The sequence below is a fragment of the Homo sapiens genome, chromosome 1, assembly GCF_000001405.40.
Source record: "Homo sapiens chromosome 1, GRCh38.p14 Primary Assembly".
Classification (NCBI taxonomy): domain Eukaryota; kingdom Metazoa; phylum Chordata; class Mammalia; order Primates; family Hominidae; genus Homo; species Homo sapiens.
In genome coordinates, this window is record NC_000001.11 from 74,511,841 (window position 1) to 74,532,628 (window position 20,788).

General features: G+C 39.8%; 3 protein-coding genes across 6 annotated transcripts in view, besides 1 other annotated feature; 2 read left to right on the forward strand and 1 right to left on the reverse strand.

The window, feature by feature from the left end:
• Positions 1-20,788, forward strand: part of FPGT-TNNI3K (FPGT-TNNI3K readthrough) — a 346,187-nt gene that overhangs the window by 313,599 nt on the left and 11,800 nt on the right. The gene's annotated exons all lie outside the window — the stretch shown is intronic.
• Positions 1-20,788, forward strand: part of TNNI3K (TNNI3 interacting kinase) — a 309,042-nt gene that overhangs the window by 276,454 nt on the left and 11,800 nt on the right. The gene's annotated exons all lie outside the window — the stretch shown is intronic.
• LRRC53 (leucine rich repeat containing 53) overlaps positions 1-20,788 on the reverse strand; it is a 67,704-nt gene that overhangs the window by 42,465 nt on the left and 4,451 nt on the right. For 2 of the 4 annotated variants that reach the window (NM_001364666.2, NM_001382280.1), the window contains exon 1: positions 686-771. The exons of the other annotated variants lie outside the window; for them this stretch is intronic. The gene's annotated coding sequence lies outside the window, so the exon portion shown is untranslated. Of the gene's footprint in view, positions 1-685; positions 772-20,788 lie in introns of those variants that run through there. 4 annotated transcript variants of the gene reach the window in all.
• Positions 16,689-17,423: an enhancer, noted in NCBI's record as "NANOG-H3K27ac hESC enhancer chr1:74994213-74994947 (GRCh37/hg19 assembly coordinates)". NCBI's record gives its function as "activates a minimal SCP1, AML or CMV promoter by ChIP-STARR-seq in naive H9 embryonic stem cells {active_cell/tissue: H9 hESC(naive)}" and the evidence as "EXISTENCE:reporter gene assay evidence [ECO:0000049][PMID:30033119]".

Here is a 20,788-nt window from a genome sequence, read left to right on the forward strand (position 1 = left end):
AAGCAACAGGGACAAAGGCAGGAAAGTGGGAACCTGCACAGTACATTTGGGAACAGCAAAGGGTTGAGTGTGGGTAGAGCAGAAGCTATAGATGAGGATCTAAAGTCAATAGAAGTAGAAATAAAAGAACATGGAGTCAAGTAAGTTCAGTACCCAAGGAAAATCGGAAGGAAGAGGGCAGCTTTCCTTCATGCAGCTTCCCTTCCAGTCACTGAGACCTCAGACTCTTCTCTTCATTCAGGCAGTGAGCATGAAAAGATCTGGATGGGACTGGATATAGCAGCCACCAGTCTTTATTGAAATAGCCCTGGGGCATGACTCGAACCTGTGAGGGACCATAAAGGGGCATGATTTCTGCAGCTGTGTTTACTGTCAGTGATTGTACAGACTCAAACATGGAGCTAGGGATAATATGGTAATCTAGATGAGACATGAGTGACATAGACACAGTAGAGCTCCACCTTGAACCCAAGATTGGCCCCTAGAACTGTGCAAAACAGGCAACACTGCAGGGTGGCTCATGGCACTCAACTATTCCTGCACTGATGACATTCCTGTACTGATGACATCACCCACATGATCATCTGTTTATAAGTCTGTCTCTTTAAATGGTGAGGAAAGAGAAATAAAGGTGTAAAAATCCAGCCATCATAACAAAAACACCAAAAGAAAGAAATTAACTTACCCAAAGGTCTCACAGCTTGTAGTTTGTGAATCTCTACATTAAAAGGTGGATGATGAATCTGAGACCTACTGAGTTAACTGTCCAGCATCTCAGCCATATGCCTTATTCCTCTTTATATGCATCTCCACTCCCACACCACCCCCTCCTGGCTTCATCCTTTAGTGCCTGGAATAACGCCTGGCACATGGTAGTTACTCATCAGAAGTCCACTGAGTGAAAGAACAAACACCTACCACTGACGGGTTGCTATTTATACCATTCTGTCTTCACTGTTGGGAGCTTCATACTGTATTCTTCAAAATGGGCACCCCCTGCAGCATGCCTCACTCTACAAGGAAAACTTCTCTGTTAACAAGCCTTATGATGGGGTCACTATGTGATCACCTAAAGCTGGCCTTTTCTGTCCCTCATCCGGGTAAATGGCTCACCGTGGAAAACTATAGACGACTTTTGCCCTTTCACTAACATTCCTCTTGATAAGACACTTAAAGAGGAAAATAGTCTTGACTCTTTAAAGTTGATGCCAGTTTGGGGCTGTTAACAAAGTCAAGGGATTCTGTTGTTAGAATCAACCTAGCACACAGCTTGCTCAGTCGATACTGTTTCACTGGCCTGAGATTACAGCAGAGGTAGGTGCCTAAGATGAGGAAATGGTTGTGGAGAAAGAGTCCGAATGACCCAGAGGTCCACGTGTGCTTTCCTAGTTCGTTTATTCAGCTGATATTTATTGAGAAATTATACCGGGATGTGGAAATTTACTGAGTCCCTGTCCTTTCATTATTTTAATCCAGTGCACTAGGTGTTCTTATCAGAGTGAGTCCATGAAATGTTGGGGATGCAGGGGCACTGGTAGTAGGAGTTGAGAACCTGATGATGACTGTCTTTGCAATGTTCCCTCAGAAGAAAAGGTTTGTGCAGAAGGCACATCCCACTTCAGACTCCTGCACATCTGCAGAGAACTTTGCATTCTCACTGCAAGAGGAGTTCCTCTTCCTTTCATTTTTCTTCTCTTTGTCTTCCTTTTTTTCTCTATGCCAAACCTAAGCAAATCTGCTTCATCCAGAGGCAGCTGGCGCTACTATGTGGGAGTGTTAAATGTTTAACATCTTGTCACTTGCGTAACTGATGGAGTCATCCTTTTTGTTTCAGAGTTTCATGTTTAGGGGTTGAAAAGCTAGATTGATGAGCATTACCAGAGAGAAATATTTTTTGGAAAGTAAGTGAAGCTGATGACACATTACTTTACAGTTTAGTGAATTTCAGCAAATCTAATTCTATTATCCTGTCAAAGTTTCACAAAAAGGAGACCTGAAAGCATATTTTAGATGAATCTTTAAAGATTTCAAGAAGCCACAACCGCATCTGCAAAGCTCAGATGCATCTGGTGCTGACAGACCTTTGTTTTTCTATAGACTAAGGGGAGTAAATAATCTTCCAAAAACTAATTAAGTAAAGTTATCTTTGGTTGTACAGTGCCTGCCTCTCTCTCCCTTGAAAAGGTTGTCAGCCAGTAAACGATAACTGCGTTTTTCAATTCAAAGGCTATTCGAAGTTTGCATAGCCAAATTTACCCAGGCACACCAAAATAGAAGCTTCCTTTATGAATCATAGAGTCTTGTAATGCAGATTTTATAGAGCATTTAAAGCCAGATCATTTATGTCCTTGTTTATTTTCACAATCAAGTATAAGATACGGTCTAATAAATACATTCTGACCAAAATGCTAGGAGCAATTGTTTTAAAGCGTTTTCACACAATTCTATGTATTTGTCAGAGGCTTACAAGCTGACAAGCTGAAAGCGCTTTGTGATGCTTTTGGCAATTTGTGTGATTGTGTATACACTTGCACAGAAGTTCCTTATCGAGAGGAAGCATTTAAGTAAAAAGGGGAGCATTAATGAAAAGGTCCATTTTAATAGAAATTGCTGTTGTTCTCTACTATCTAACAATTATTCACTTAAGAAGAAAAGTCTTGATAGAATTTATTGAGAACCTACTATGTACTAGTACACATATTATTAATATAATATCCCCAATTATTTGCTAGGTAGATATTATCTCCATTTTGAAGATGGGAAAACTGGTCAAAACAGGAAACATCTTCTGAGATAGTAAGGGGGGAAGCTGGGATTGACTCCAGTCTATCTAATCCCAAAGCCATGTGTGCTCTTTTTAGGACACCATAAGAAATTCTGTTTGGAACTCATGATAAAAAACAAGATCAAGACTGTGGTAAAAATGTGAAGGGGTATTGTGGGTTGAATTGTATCCCCCAAAAAGATATGTTGAAGTCTCAGACCCTGGTACCTCAAAATGTGACCCTATTTGGAAACAGGGTTGTTGCAGATGTGAGAAGTTCATAGGAGTTTATACTGGAGTAGGGTGGGCCCTTAATTCAAGATGACTTGTGTCTTTATAAGAAGAGCACAAAGACACGCAGAAGAATGGCATGTGAAGATGATGGAGGCAGGGACTGAAGTGCTCTACCTAGAAGCCAAGGAATATAAGGATCGTAGCCCTCACCAGAAACTAGGACATGGGCACAGAATTTTCCTCAGAATATTCCTTCAGAAAGAACCAACCTTGCCAACACCTTGACTCTGGACTTTTAACCTGCATAACAGTGAAAGAATACATTTCTGTTGTTTGAAGCCTTCAGGTGTTTGGAACTTTCTTATGGCAGCCCTAGGAAATGAATACAGAGGATGACATAACTTCATAGAGCTTAGGAAGAAAACAAACTCCAGACTGAATGTTAGGTCAGTGCCCTTCCTGAGGGTCATAGTCATGTTATTTTTCCTTCATCATTTGGGACTATGCGGAAAACCCACACCTAACCCAGTATGAGACTTGAAAGACATTTTTTGGTGCTTTGTCAGAAAATAAATATATGGTTAACCAAAGTTAAGGTGAAATTCTAACGTTTTATCATGCCAATACATATAGAAATGATACTAGGAAAGGGTGTGCTATTTGACTGAAGTTTCTCTGATGGTTGCTGTTGGCAACCAGTTTTACAAGAGGCACAAGTCTAATTAGGGCAGAAGTCAGGAAGAGATTGCAAGTAATTGAGGTCAGACATAACTCAGGGTGGGCAGGTGGCTGACATCCGATGTAGTCAAACTAAGGGGATCATGGTTTGAGGTGGGCAGACACAACAGGTGAGGGATGGAGACTGAACACTGATGGAAATAACTAAAAGCTGAATCTGGCAATGACATTCAAGTAGGTCAAAAAATAAGTATGATAAAAGCTAAGGGAAATCTGAGGTTTTTCTCTTCAGAAGCCTAGTCTTCCTAAATTGGCTATTTCTTTAGACTGGAGATCATTAGTTATTAAAAGGACTATACTTACACCTGCCAACCTAATGCCCCATAGTGCCAGTTTACCTCCTGGCTGCCTTCAAGGTTCTGATGTCTGACTCAGTTGAGAAGAAGGGACTTGCCTTTGCAGAAAATGTAAATGGAGAGAGTAGTACTGATGTCTTTAGGAGCCTCACTAGAGGGGAAGGAAAGGACAATCAACTTACTGGTGAAGCCATCTTCTGTGGATCTTTGAGTTGGAACTAGGCTGAGAATGTAGGTCTGAAGTGCAAATCATCCCTGTTCTTATTGATAATAACTCTGGTATTTCAAAATTTTTAAAAATATGGTCATTTATTTCTGTTCTGAAATTTCCCATTAGCCAGGAAAAAAAATTTTGACTAATGTTGAAGACTACTCAATGAATGTTGCTATCCATTTGTTTGTTCACTCATCTGCTCAATCACTATTTACTTGGATGGGGAAGGGATTCATAATTTCTAGATATGTTGCTAAATGATGAAAATAAAGGAAAAATAAGACATGGTTTCTGACTTAAGATGAGAATAGTTGAGTCAGGAAGGCAATATCAAATCCGTACAATACAAGGCATGAGGTGTCACAGTAAAGAGATGAAGTCCTTTTACTGTGGGGCTTAGTATGTGAGAAAAACTGTGAGAAAGAAGTTCATTGTGTGTAGAGCCTGCCTATATGAGGCAGGGAGCAATAGAGGATGAGGCTGGAGAAATAGACCCAGGCCTGCTGCTTGAGACCTGGACCGTGGGACCTTGCTACTATGGGCCATGGGACCTCAACAGTAAGTGGCATGGTCAGCCACGTTTAAAAAGAAGGACATTTCCACAGCTTGGTTGAGGATGGCTTGTATATTCCCCATCACTAATTCCAGCATTATTTCTCCAGTAGTAATAATGAATGTGCCCTCATATAGCCACATTTCCCCAACCCTTATTATAACAAGTTAAGGCAGCTTACTTCTGGGATTTTTCAGTGTTGGAATATTCTACATAGATGAAATGCCCTTATTGCCAGTTCACAAAAATGATATCAACAATTGTTAACTACATGATAGACAGTATTTTCTCCAGCAACCTCTCTACAGAAGTCTAAAAGAAATATTTACAGTCATGCTCCCATGAGCATCATTATGAGAAAACACTGATAGCAATTCAAAAAAATAAAAACAGAAACATTCTTGTCCCCAGCTCTGTTGATGGGGATTATTTAATTCAGCTTTTCCCCCACCCCTATTTTGGTAGATGCTGTTCATTATTATGTATTACACAAATCATTCTCAACACCTGTGGGCACTTTCTATATGCAACATATCTTGTAGGGGTAACTCTTTAAAAAAAAAGGTTAATAACATTAATCCAATTTTACAGATGGGGACAAAAGACAACTGGTTTATTATATTCTGTCAGGTCAGATAGTAAATCAATGCCTCATTAACGTTCATTAGAATTTTCACTCCATCCAATTTCAAACTAAGCTTCTTCTTCCCTAAGGAACTTAATTAGTATCAAAAATTTTCTGGCATTAGCTCCTCACTGATTCATATGTCAAACCTTCAAACACTTACTTGAGCAAGGTACTGTGCTGGTGGTACCAGGCTGGACAGGAAATGGTAAATGGGTCAACTGAGCCAGCATGTAGAAAGCATTTAGAATCAGAGCAGGAGTAGCCTTTAATAATAATTGTTAGTAATAATGGTATTTATGGAGAACTCCACATGTGGGGGCTGTGTGCTAAGCATTATGTATAATCTGCTATGTCCAACTCACAGTGGCAACCTCAATTAGGTTCTATTTCATTGATGAGGAAGCTGAGGCTTAGAAAGTGTCTTGTGTAAAGAGTACGACTGGTAAACCGAAAAAGGATTTGAAACTAAGACATCTTAGTTCATCGTCTCAATCACAAAGCCAGTGGCTCTCAAAATTGAAAATGCACCAGAATCACCTGGAAGATTTTTTAAGGCAAAAACTGCTGGGCCCACTACCAGAGTTTCTGATTCAGCAGGTCTGATGTAGAGTGAAACATTTGAATTTCTAACCAGTTCCCAGGGGAGGCTGATGTCCCAGGCATCACACTTTGAGAACCACTGCTCTAGCTAGTACTTAAAGTAACAATCTTTGACTGTGGTCAGCATACGGTGGGAAGTCATTCAAAGTTTTTGAGCAAGCGATGACCTCGCCAGAATAGCACTTTTAGGAGATTAATAGGGCAGCCGTGTGCAGGTTACTAGAGGACAGATGGTGGACCAGGAGGTTCCCAGGTAAGTCAAGAAGAAGCAAAGAAATGATAATAGATGTTGAGAAATATTGGCCCAGTGGAGTAGATGGAGAGGGTTTGCTGATCAATGGAGGAAAAAAGAGTTGTCAGATGTGACAGTCTGCTTTTCAGTCTGGATGGCTAGAAGAATCATTAGGTCATTAACAGAAATTGAAAGGAGTTCTTCTTTTATATTTATTTTCATCTCCTATTTCCACATAGCCTCTTACTGTTCACTCCTTTCATTGTTTTTATTTATGAGATTTCCACAGCATTTTCGTTCTTCTTCTTTACCTAAAGGGACCAATGTATCTAAAGGGCAGTTATAGACTCTTGGTTGCTTCTGAGATGCTTTTCTTACCTCAAGGATCTCTGATTCTCCCACCTCAATATGCCTTCTTTTTAGGGTGGCTCTATGGTTCCCACTGCTTACAGATCTCAGTGGATTCTACTAATCGTGACGAAGCTTATGGTTCCCGTGTTTCACCTGATGCCTGCCTGGGGAGCACACTGTCAGTGCAGAGGCTTCATAATGCATCGCTAATAGTGTTTTCAAAACAATATCTGTTTTTTAAGCTCAAAATTATTATATTAGTGTTTTGAACACATATTTTGCTTTTATATAATTTATTTCCATAAGTAAAGGGTGTGTTTTTAAAACAACATTTACAAATATGGATTATTTAAGGAGTATTTAGTCTTCAATTTAAAACAAATTACCTTACTTTATTTTTTATTTTATTTTATTTTTTTTCCCCTTTTTTTTTTTTTTTTTTTTATTATACTCTAAGTTTTAGGGTACATGTGCACATTGTGCAGGTTAGTTACATATGTATACATGTGCCATGCTGGTGCGCTGCACCCACTAATGTGTCATCTAGCATTAGGTATATCTCCCAATGCTATCCCTTCCCCCTCCCCCGACCCCACCACAGTCCCCAGAGTGTGATATTCCCCTTCCTGTGTCCATGTGATCTCATTGTTCAATTCCCACCTATGAGTGAGAATATGCGGTGTTTGGTTTTTTGTTCTTGTGATAGTTTACTGAGAATGATGGTTTCCAATTTCATCCATGTCCCTACAAAGGATATGAACTCATCATATTTTATGGCTGCATAGTATTCCATGGTGTATATGTGCCACATTTTCTTAATCCAGTCTATCATTGTTGGACATTTGGGTTGGTTCTAAGTCTTTGCTATTGTGAATAGTGCCGCAATAAACATACGTGTGCATGTGTCTTTATAGCAGCATGATTTATACTCATTTGGGTATATACCCAGTAATGGGATGGCTGGGTCAAATGGTATTTCTAGTTCTAGATCCCTGAGGAATCGCCACACTGACTTCCACAATGGTTGAACTAGTTTACAGTCCCACCAACAGTGTAAAAGTGTTCCTATTTCTCCGCATCCTCTCCAGCACCTGTTGTTTCCTGACTTTTTAATGATTGCCTTACTTTAAAAGTGTAATTTTTGAATTGATTTTTAAACTAAAATCATAAGAAAGCCAGAATAGAGATAAAAACTTCTAAGAATCTTTTTTATAAAGTAAATAGTCTTACAAAATAACCCCACAGAATATATCTTTAAAAGAAAATTACATTTTATACATGAAATTTTTCTAATGTGAGGACAAGTACCTATAATGAAGATATGTTATAGTCAAGCCAAAGCTTTAAGTTTATAATGTGTGTCATTCAGAGGTGAAGGGAAGATTGAATAGTCCACAGGGTCCCTGTGGCAGTGTGGGTGTCCTATCTGTGGGAGCACAGATCCACCTTCTCTGCTCTGGATGCCCTGACTGGACAGCATGTTCTTACAGCTATTTCTCCTTTGGATACTGCCATTTTCTCTGTGGGATCTTGCCCAAGCTCATTTATGTATTTAATTTTTTATTTCCATAAGTTTTTGGGGAACAGGTGGTATTTGGTTGCATGAGTAAGTTCTTTAATGGTGATTTGTGAGATTTTGGAGCACCCATCACCTGAGCAGTATATGCTGAACCCAATTTGTAGTCTTTTATCCCATACCCCCTTTCCACCCTTTCCCCGATTCCACAAAGTCCATAGTGTCATTCTTATGCATGTGCATCCTCATATACCTTGATTATAAATGATAATTCAGTTTTTCAAAAAATTGACTCAACTGGAATCTTGAGTGTGAAATTTTAAGATATGGCATTTAAATACACGTACAGAATTGAAGTGACCTCGCTTCCGACTTTTCTGAAGAATTTGAGACTACTTCGCGTGAGTTCCACCACCTTTCTTCCTCAGCCCCTCCAGTCTCTCTGTGACTCCATGGATTCTCCTCTCTTCTCCTTGGATGGAGAAATCGACCTTCTCATTTCTGAGGCCCATCCATCCATCTGTTTCCCTGTTACCTCTTCTGCCTCTGGCTCTTTTTCCCTCAGTCCTTGCTTGTCTCTTTTGACCTTTTCCTTCCTCCCTTTCCAAAATTTTTGGCAAAACACCAAAATTTTTGTCTCACAACTTCAAAAAAAAAATGGGAAAAATCAATCCTTCTTTAAATATTAACTGTATGGTCTGCTTCCATTTTTAAGACACTGAGAACAAAAGAGAAGGAAGGGAGGCCTGGGGCATACTATGTGGTATTTGGGACTTGGTCTATGTGGCGGTGATAAAGAAAACAGTCCCCTTTGAGTTGCAACATGTGGGTTGCAGCTGGGGTGGGTGTAACAGGGCTAAGAAGCCCCTTATGAAATTTAGATCTGGAAGGTACATATGGAGCTGGCTCATCTTGGGGAGGATTGCTTGGAGCTTTAATTTGCACAGTTGTGAATAGTGGTGACATGGGAGCAGAGGTGAAGGGAAGATTGAATAGTCCACAGGGTCCCTGTGGCAGTGTAGGGGTCCTATCTGTGGGAGCACAGATCCACCTTCTCTGCTCTGGTTGCCCTGACTGGACAGAGTGTTCTTACAGCTATTTCTCCTTTGGGCAACAGCTTCAACTTCAGAATATTTTTAGATAATGTCCTCTCTCCATCACCACAGAAGTTTGTAGAGCTGAAATTAGGATATATTTGGAGGTTGTGTATTGTAGTTATAAGGAGCATGTGCTCCCAGTAGGACTGGCTGGGTTCACATTGTGGCACTGCCATTTTCTCTGTGCGATCTTGCCCAAGCTCATTAACTTCTTTCTAGTTGCTCTTTGCTTCCTAATCTATAAAACAGGCATAATAATGATACTTACTTCATGGTTATTATGAGGATTAAATGAAACAAACTATGTAAGTCACTTAAAACAATACCTGGCACATAGTTACTGTTCAATAAATGTTAACTATTTTATGAAATATGTATTCTAATGCAATAAATCCTTACCTTATCTCTCTCACACACACACACATGTAAACGCATTATGTATGTGTGTATGTGTATATATATATATACACCTATATATACATATATGCAGTCAAAATTAAATGCTACTATTTCCATAAAGCCTTTTTCTGCGTTCCTTTATTTAGCAAATGATTGGTAAAGACGCACTATATTCCTAGCATGGAGGTCACAGTGATCAGCAAGACAGCCCTAGTCGCTATTCTCGCAGAGTTGGTGAACAAGCCATTTCAGCAAAGCGTGATAAATTTATGATAAGAAGGGCACAGGGTCTCATAAATGAATACATGAATGAATAAATGGGTGAGTGAATGTTTCTTGCTATTTCTACTGAAATGTTAAGTGTTTTGATCCCTGAGAATAAGTCAGAATTTCTTTAAAGCCTGTGCTGGTCTATTCATAATGCCATTTCTGCTATGAATCATAACTACTCAAAAGCCCAGAGTGATTCTGGGGCTGCATCCAACTGTTGTTAATCTTCTAAACAGGTAACTGAGATCCAGGTAGAGTAAAAAAAATTCAGATGAGGGAGATATATCAACATCCCTTCCAGTGATAGATGACAGACAGTAATTACTATCTGCCTTATCACTTTTCCAATTCTCTCATGCTGATTCGCTGGCCAGGGATTGTTCTTTTTAAAAAAAATCTGGTTCAGGCACTATTGGAAACTTAATATAGCAGGTGAAGCATTCAGACCCTTGATGAATCAGGGCCAGACACAAATACAAGGTTATAGACTCAGGGGCTTCAAAGAGAGACATTTAGGACAGATCTGCTCTTGGAGCTGCTGCTTGTACTTGCTAAGAGCCAGAATCCAAAGGATGCAGCTGCCGCAAATGTGCATAAATAAAGGCAGTGAGTTCCTAGCATTCCTATGGGAACCTGCAGCAGCTCAGATTACCCGTTCCCTAGACAGGATTTCCTTTCAGCTTGGTGTCTCATATTAAAAGGTAGACCAAGGAGTACACTTCCAGAATGGTGCTTGGGGAATACTTGTAGTACGAGTTGCATGACTAATTCTCCCCACGCAGTATAGAAGACCTACTCCTGAGGGTATTATACATTTAAAAAGTAGCATGAAAAAGAGAGAATCTGTCTTTTTCCTGCATATTCCCAAAATGTAAGTAGCTGTTTTTCTGGTCCCTAAGGTGTATGTGTGTGTGTGTGTGAGAGAGAGAGAGAGAAAGAGAAAGAGAGAAATGCCCCAGGAAGCAATCCCAGAATAACATGATTCATTTTCTGATTGGAATATTGATCATTTGATTCAAATCTGGATTAAAACTGGTGTATTTCTTAGGTTGAAAATCTGTAGTCTTTTTACCTTAGCCCCTGGCTTTATGGAAACTTTACCTGTAGAAGGAATTCAAGATTAAACTGTGAACACATAAAATCCAGCACTGCGTGATCCAAAGCTTCAGTAGGTTCATGATCAGAAGCCTACACTTCTAACTCCAAGCCCAACTGCCCACTGGAAATTGAAGAATCCAAATTACTAATGAGAGGGGAAACCCCATGCATTCACTACAGCAGATCACAAGGTTTCTGTAATACAGCCATGTTGTGGAGCAGAAAAGCAGTGAGCTTCAGTATAGGTTCTGTCTGATTCCTCTCTTCCCTCTTACAGGCCAGGTGACCTGAGGCAAGTTGCCTGACCAATTTGCCCTCAGTTTCTTCAAGAAAACAATATATATAATAATACCGATACCACACAGTTGCTGGGAAGATTAAATAAGGAATTGTATGTGAAATAAATTTTCTAACACCTATGATTTCAAAAAACACATCTATAGACATTATCTCACTTGATACCTCATAGTGGATTTCTAAAGACATGTATCATCAAATTTTGAGCATGATATTTGTGTTTTTCTATACACATATCTAAGAGAACAAGCAATTTTTTTTCCTTTATTGTGTTTGTGTATTCAAACATACTTGGCTGATGTATAAGATTTTTCTTTTTTTTAATTTTCTTTTGAAATGCCCAAAAGCAACAACAAGAAAGAGAGAAAGAGAAAGAGACTCACTTAAAAAAAAAGGCCTCAAAGTTATAGGCTATGCCTGGCCATTAGCTGCTTATAGTAATTTCGGTGAATATTTAGACTTCAGCTCTGCCCTCTTCATGAGTCTAGCTTTGCAGAGGTTGAGCTCCTACTGTATGCCAGGCCCTGAGAGTTGGCAGTGTCTGGTCTGGTATGCAGTAGGTGATCAATACCTATTTGTTGGTAATTGCTAATACAACTTTGAGGTTTTCTTTGGTCTTGGGGAAACAGTGCCCTGTGGCATGTGGTTTTCTTTTTTTAAAATTATACTTAAGTTCTGGGATACATGTGCAGAACGTGCAGGTTTGTTACATAGGTATACATGTGCCATGGTGGTTTGCTGCACCCATTAATCTGTCATCTACATTAAACATTTCTCCTAATGCTATCCCTCCCCTTTCCCCCCACCCCCGACAGGCCCCAGTGTGTGATATTCCACTCCCTGTGCCCATATGGAGAACAAGGCAATTCCATCAAGCCACAATTCCAAAGGCATGACTGAATGTGGAGTTGTTGCTTTCACCAAAAATTGTTTTTGCAAAGCATTGACATTTGTCAAGAGCCTAACTGTGGCCAGCCACAAACACAGTCCAGTAGTATTTGTGGCAGTGCCCACAAAGGCTCCAGTGAATTCTTCTTTGTGAAAAGTCTTTAAAACACAGAGTAACCATGTAGCAATTACCATCAGAAGTATTTAGAGGCATTCTGAAGAGTCTGTTGGGAATTTTAACAGCCTGATCTCTGCCCCATTCAGATGGTTATGGTAACATGCAAAGTGAATAGCTCTGTGGGCCTGCCAGAAACAGAGGGGGCTTGGCCCATTAGATAGCAAAGTGCAAGTCTTCTGCACCTGACACTGTGCGGACTCCAGGGCTGCTGTGGAGTTTCACTGGCTGTGGCCACAGCTAGAGTATGTAGGGCCAACTGGTGACTAACTGTGGAATCTCCACACAACTTCTCCCTATTAAAAAATTGCACAGGAAAATGCATTAGGAAAAAGTCACATAAATCTCTTCTGGAATGATGCTCATAAAAGATTTGTCATTTTTCTTGGTTCTAAGAGCAATGGGCATACTTTAATCTAATGTATTCATTCACTTAGCAAATACCCAAAGCTTTTACTTTTAGGTTCTGGAGATACAGCAGCAAATAAAACACAGAAAATAATCTCTTCCCTCGTGGAGGTTTTATTCTAATGTGAGAAGAGTGACAGGCAACTTTTTAAAAAAGTAAAAAAAAAAAATGAAAAAGAAAGGAAGTAAAGGGGCTGCCTCATGAAGGGGGACAGGCCACTGGTAGGACTTGGAGATTTACTATGATTGAGATGCATGCCACTGCAGGGGTTTGGGCAGAGAGGTAACATCATTAGGATTGTTTCTAAAAGGATTGCTCTGGCTGAGGTACTTTGGGGCTGGAAAGAGAGGTAGCCAATTAATTTGCTTTTTTATACCTACTTTCTATGCATTCAATTATATAGTAAGTATTTTACTTAGCATGGGCTATGAGCTGGACACTGGGGAAAGAGACAAAGAATGAAAGATGAGATTCTTCAGTGTGATAAAAAACATACTAAAGAGGGCACTTAACCAAGTATTGGGGAGAGAGAAGCTGAGGCCTGAAAGATAAGTAGCATTATTCAGTGGAAGAGGGGAAGGAAAGAATGCAGCAGGCATAAATGAGAATAAGAATAATAACAATAATAAGGTAGCTAATACTGAGCACCTCCTGTGTGTTAGGGATTCTTCTAAGCGCTTTGCGTGTATACCATCTCATATAATTCTCACAAATACCTACATGTGTGATAAGTATTGTTATTGTCCTCATGGTACAAAAAAGGAATGTGAGGCACAGGAAGGTAAAAAATTTTGCTTAAGGACAGCAGCTAGGAAGTAGAGGTGCCCAGACTGAAAACTAGCTCAGTCTGATTCACACCCTGAGTCCCTGACCACTTGGCCAACTGCATAGAACATTGAATCTGAGAGATGAGGCTGAAGAAATGACCAGGAGCTCAGTTCAACCAAATTTATTTTTAAAATAAGTGTTGCAAGTAAACTCTGTGCCCAAATGCCAAGGCTACAGAGATAAGTAACAAAGCATGGCTCCTAGTCTGAAGGAGTGTGCTTCTGGTGTGCCACATATCAAAGCTTAATAAATAACCAATATAAATATGACCATGGAGGCCTGGATGTGCACAAGGCCACAGAGAACTTCTTACAGCATCCACAGTCATGGTCTTGTCAATACAGAAGCCGGGAGCAGCAGTTGGCCCAGCAGGAAATGTCAAAACCTGGGTTGCCCCAGGATTCAAAGAGGCATCACAGCACATCACACCAGAGTGGGGTAAGAACCCCCACATTACTGGCAAGAGAAGAGGTTTTCAATGAGAGCAAGGCACCCCAGCTACATAATATCATTTTGTTATTCAGGGTCTGACAGCAAAGAATACACAGAGGAGGAGAGGAAAGCTTTGGTGTTGTGTGATGAGGCAAAGGGTCCCAGAGGTTTGGTATACATTCGCTTAAAACAAAACAAAAAAAACAGTGCTTGTAATTTTGTAACCTCCTTAGGGTATTTCAAATGGTTTGTGAAGATCAATGTTCTGCATGTTCAAAGAGTTTAGGGAGTTTTAAAACCTTCCCATGCAGACTGGCTTGTCATAAAGAACAAAGGAACATGGAATTTCTTGCAGGGATGTGAATTCACACAAAGGAGCCCAGAGATCTAAAATCAACAAAGATGGCCTTTGAACTTTCCTCAATCCAAAAGGGGAAAAGAATATGTATTGCTCTGTGGGCTCCAATCTAGTTGCTGCTTTTATCTTCCATCAATAAAATTGGTTTTGTGATTTTTATTTATGTAACTACCCAGTGGCCATTGAGTATAAAGTAGTGATTAAAAGCTTGGGCTCAGATGGACCTGAGTTCAAATTCAAGTTCTACGGTTCTTATAACCTGTGACTTTGGCCAAGTTAGTTGAGCTCTCCAAGTCTCAAATTTCTCAGCTATAGGATGAAAATAAGAATATCATCTTCTTCATTAGGTTGCAATGAAGGTGACGTGAGAATGCAATTTCTACATGTCTAATATGTGGTAAACACTAAATAAATATAAATTGGATATTTTTTTCTGTTTTCCATTAGCTCATGCATTTTAGTCTTTAACATTCCTCTCCTAGGAGAAGCTATGAAAATCTAAGATGAATGGAGATCCTACATTCACTGAGATATCATTGTTTGGCCCAAAGGGAGAAGGCAGCTTAGGAGAGCAACACGTATAGGACTTATCTGACACTCTAAAGAAGAGATTGGTAAACTACAGCTCATGGGTAAATCCAACTGCCTGCTTGTTTCTGTAAAGTTTTATTGGAATACAGCCACACTCATTTGTTTACATATTATCTATGTCTGTGTTTGCACTGAAACAGCAGAGTTGAGTAGTTGCAAGAGACCATATGGTCCACAAAGCCTAAAATATTTACTGTCTGGTCCTTTACAGGAAAAGTTTGCTGATCCCTGCCTGCTCTAAAAGCATAAAAATCTATATTTGTTCAAGTCACGTAGCCCCAAAACTGTATACATTGGAAATCCATCTCCTAGTGGAAAAATATGAAGGCTACCTTCAGGTCACTGTAAACAGTTTTACTAGCCCGTGCCAGGTGCTGTGTGAAGTGCCAGGCACACGGAGACTCATAAGGCTCATCCTTGAGCAGTGGCTAAAGAAATGAAAGGAGGTTCACCAATGACCACAAACTTTGTTAAAAAGAATCAGAGTAAACAGACAAAGATAAACATGAATAAAATTGCAGAGGAGGAAACATCATTCATTCATTCAATCAATCATTTCTTTAATCCATACTTACTGAGAAACAAGGCATAGTAGAAAATAGGAAACACAAGATTAGATGGAGTGGTAAATGACAAAAACAAGTCTGCCGTAAGGAGACTCTGAGAAATGCATTCAGCAGAGCTAAAAAGCAGATGTGGGATTTATAAGGCATGAGCAAAAAAGGAGAACCAGAAAGCCACTATGGTGGATAGGGAGGGGAGACAGGGCAGACAGGGACAAGATGAAGTTCCAGAAGGAGGTAGAGGCCAGGTCATGAGGGCTTTATCAGCCAGGACAGGGTGTTAGGGTGTTGATCTACATGTGTTGGGCAGCCACTGAGGGATTGGAATCAGGGAGGTGACATAATCTGATTAGCATTTTAAAAATTTCACCATTGTTACTGTTTTATCTCTTCCCTTCCCTTCATGAATGATTTAGTCCAAAACCATTGGACAGGGCTGAGTAAGGTGGACTTCCCCAATGGATATGGAGCAGAATGTCAGAGTCCAAGTAAGGTGTGGAGAATGTCTATGTGGTGGATGGGAGTGGTGGGTGGCACTGCCTGGCAGAGGGTGTCAGAACAAAAGTGGGAGAAGGAAAGGGTTTCCACAGGAGGTTGGGGCTGCCCGGCCAAGGTGGTAGTGCTTAAGTATGGTAAATAAGGTAGTCACGTGGGAGAGTACCCTGACAGAGGAGATCAGAATCGAAGCCCAGGAAGAACGTTATGTATGAGAAGGGTGGAGAGAATAGTGGCTCAAGTAAGGCCAGAGCCCAAGAATGGTAAGCAGGACATCCTACAGAGTAGTGCCACTGTGGTTCCATGCAGGCTAAGAAGGACATGGGCACAGGAAAGTGCCTGGTGGAAGGAAGTTGGAGCATAAGGGTGGTGAAGAAGGTGTACGTGTGGGCAGGCAGCCCAGTGCAAGGGGCTGGAGCCTGAGCAGGGTGAGGAGGGCATGGCATAGGGACATAGTACAGTGCTGAGTGCTGGATCCCCAGGTAAGTGAGGAGCGGACCCACTTGGGGCAGGCAGGTGGGGAATAGGCGGGTAGGTGTCAGAACACATGAGAGTGAGGAAGCCTTCTGCATGGGTGTGGGATATTGGAGCCCCCGTGGGTAAAGGAGGATATTTGTGTGTGTGTTGGAGTGGGGAAAGGGTACAACAGCAATGGGAGATTTGTACATTCAGGGACAATGATCAAATAAGTAAATATATTTAGGATAATGGGAGCTAGGTTTCTCACTGTCAGAGAATGGTGTGAATATGGAGAGAATGAAAACTAGAGTCAACTCTGTTGGTTGGTTTGGAACTGGAGATGTTGCTGGAAACTTATGCTTTGACAGAGCAAAGTCTTAATGTGTTTACACACCTATGTATGCTCATGCATATGCTCTAGCTGTTTCTGCTAAATGAAAGCACCTGGGAGGAGCGGCACTTCAACTGCAGGAACACACCTGGCACCTTGATCCTCATTTCCAAATACTATTATTTACCAAAAGGAAACAAGGCACTTGAAGAAATGACAGACTTTAAGGCTGACACAAGGAAGGTACAAAACAAGAAAATAAGCCTGAAACATCTTGCACCAGAAAGGAGAAAGATACAAAGAAAGATGGTGACATAACAAAGGAATACATTGAAGGCACCCCAGGTGGTCAACTATGAGTTAATTTGAGTATAAAATAAATGATGACAGTGACATCAATAATATTGTAACTATAAGTTCATATAGATATAAATAAATGATAGAAGTAAATAAAATTTGGCTGAGATGCAGAATATTTATATAGTCTCAAAATACCTCCTCACAAAATACTTATTAATTACAAAGAGAAAAAGAGTAATTTTATAGTGTAGAAGCCTATCAGACATCACTCAATCAAGTAATCAAAATTAACAACACAATAATGGGACAAATCAAAATGTGATGGGACACAATGAAAGAAACAACATCCCTTCTGTGATACTGCCCTCCAAAGATGCATAATTTGAATCTAATCATTAGGAAACCTCTGATAAAACCAAATTGAAGGACATTTTGCAAAATTACTGGCTTGTCATCCTCAAAAATGTCACGGTTAGGAAATTCAAGTAGAGATGGAGAGACCATTTCAGACAGAAAGAAAATAAAGAAACATGACAATTCAGTGCTGCATGTGATTCTGAATTAGATTCTTTTGCTATAAAAAGCGTTATTGAGATAATTGGCAAAACTTGAATGGCGTCTGAGAGTAGATGGAAGAATCAAATGATTGTATTTTGGTTATGTAGGAGGATGTCTTTATTTTGGAAATACACTAAAGTATTTGGGAGATGATGGGCATTAGATTGTCAACTTATCTCAAATGCTTCAGAAGAATAAACACTGTATAATTGTGGCAACTTTTCTTTATGTTTAAGATAGTTTTTAAATGAAAAGTTTTTTTAAGAAAGTTCATATATTCACTTCAGCCATTTGATTCCAAAGTCTTTGCACATGCCCCTGCTTTGCTCTCTCCCTGGATGACCCCACCCCTTGTGAACCAGGGCTTGTTCTTCATTTTCTCTGCTTAGGGAGAGTGTCCTTAGAGCATGTCCTTTCTCCTGTGTTGAAGTTTACCTGTACATGCCTATGGGTTTTTTTCCTTGTTTTGAGGCAGGGTCTTAATCTGTCACCCAGCCTGGAGAACAGTGGTAGGATCACAGCTCACTGCAACCTCTACCTCCTGGCCTCAAGAGATCCTACTGCCTTGGCCTCCCAAAGTGCTGGGATTACAAGCATGAGCCACTGTGCCAGCCGTTAGGTGTCTACGTTTCTATTTACCCCAGAGGGTAGGGTCTATATCCATCACACTCATGTCTGTATTCCTAATATATAGCACAGCTCCTGGCATTGTGCTTGATAAAAAGCCATGGAAAAAGGAAGAGAGATAGGGATATAGCCATAACTTTGAGAATCACTTCTAGAGCCAACAGGTTTAAGTTGAGAAAGACTTAATAACTGCCTGGCTTAGGTTTGAATTACAACTGGGTTATCTTGGGTAAGACATAGTCTCTCTGAGCCTTGGTTTCCTCATATATAAAATGAGTTGTTAGGTGGGGCAAATTTTGTAAGTTTTGTAAAGTATCGAGTAGAGTCCCTGGCGCTTAGCAGGTATGAAACAATTTTGTTTTCCCACTGTCCTTAAAAATAAAAATAAAAATCATCAAATAGAACTAGAAGATCAGAATTCTAGGTTATAGTCTTGATTTCACTACAACCTTGCTATATGAACTGGGATAGGTTATTTCAATTCTCAAGGCCTCAGTTTCCTTCTTGGTAAGATGGTAGGTGGGAAAATGAGGAAGTGAGGAGTGGGCCTTATCACTGTCATGCTACCAAGAACTCAAAAAGTTTTTTTTTTTTTTTTCCTGGATGATAGTATAGAAGGTGAGGGATATGAAAGATTTTGCTATAGAGTATGTTCCTCAGTTTTAGCAGTCAAGGCATGCAAAGTCTGCCTCTTAATGGTTTGCTCAGCTGACTCATTTATACCTGCTTAAATTAGTAGGTAAATTGAGAGGTGGTAGTGTTGTTAGGTTACTGTTGAGCCTATTAATAATTTATGAGCCATCAAGGAATTAATACACACTTTAAGTTCTCACTGCATTTTTCCTTATTCATAATTCTTTGCCTAATTGCTTTTTCCTTTAAAAATGGGGGAAGCTGAGACCTTGGATATTTGCCTAATGGCTCAAGCAGAACCATGACCTGGTTGCCAAGTCTTTCAGTTCTTTTATAGCCTGGGGACATTTGCCATTGAAAGAAAACTGATGGGTTTGATATTCCTGAAAGAGATATTTTGCACTAACCTCTGGCCCCATTAAATGCTTTGGCACTTGCCCATTCTCTGTAATGGGAGCAATAAATTTGTTTCAATTTAGGACATTGTCAAGTAGGAAATATTGACAAAAACAAAATAATGCTTTGAAAACAGCCAGGATGAAACCATGAATAAATAAACATATTGAACTTAACTGATAAATTAGCAAATGGCCATTCATAAGAGTCTGACTGGACCATTTCAAAGTTAGGCCAAGTAAATTCCTGTCTCTAATAGAAATATCATCTTACTCTTTAGGCCAGAGGAAAGGTGGGCTAAGAGGAAAGGTGGGCTGCATGGGAAGACACTGCAAAGCATAGAAAGGCATTTACCCCGTCTGACAGATCTGTTTTAAATAGATCTGTTTTCAGCTAAATGCCAAAAGGATGAGCCAGATGACTCTAGTAGCCTTTTCTATGGCAAGAGATTTATTATCCTAGTGTAAACACCTTTATTAGGCATTTCAGCAAGCTGTTTCTCCACCTTTTCTTTGTATTAGTTCCTTAGATTGGGGCAAATAACTGAAATTCTGTTTAAGTATTATTGTATGTGTTTCCTTTTGAGTATAAGAGATAACTTCTAAGTTAGAGATATTCCTCTTGAAGAAGGGGATAAGTGTGCATATGGCATTGATCCTTGTGCTAATATTATCACATAGGTAACATTGTTATGACAGACGGCAATAAACCACAAAACATGTTTGCAAACTTGTGAGGCCTTAAATGGTGTTGCCTTATTAAAAATCCAAATGGCTAAATCATCCAGAGTACAGGTAGCCTGAGGGCATTGTTAGCTGCATAAAAACTAATTGGACCAATTTGAATGGAAGAAAATGTTGCCTGAAGTCTTTAATCACACTGATAACCTAATGGTTTTCTGCTCAACATAGCCCAGGCTGTGTTTAGGAAGATGAATCCATGCATGCAGCTTAAAAAATTTTACACAAGATCAGAGGGTTGAGAGGAATAATAAATTTCTCATTTAGAAAGTTTAGTGCATGTGTATCTCATGTTTTAGCATCATAGCAAGGTAACAGCAAGCAATTGTTGGATAAAGGAAAGTATCATTTTTTTAAAGATGAAGCAAACATGAGAAAGCTGATTCTGATTTTGCTCTGATTATAAGGGATGTTTCTCTAAGAAGAATTTAGCGTTCATCTTTATGTGCAAATAATCCAAAACCCTTTAACTTATTATCAGCTCTGTAATTCAATGAGCTCCTGAAATGGTAACTGAACAATAGTTTGACACGTGCTATTATTATTTTTTTCTTTTTTTTCTTTTTATTTTATTATTATTATACTTTAAGTTTTAGGGTACATGTGCACAATGTGCAGGTTAGTTACATATGCATACATGTGCCATGCTGGTGTGCTGCACCCAATAACTCGTCATTTAGCATTAGGTATATCTCCTAATGCTATCCCTCCCCCCTCG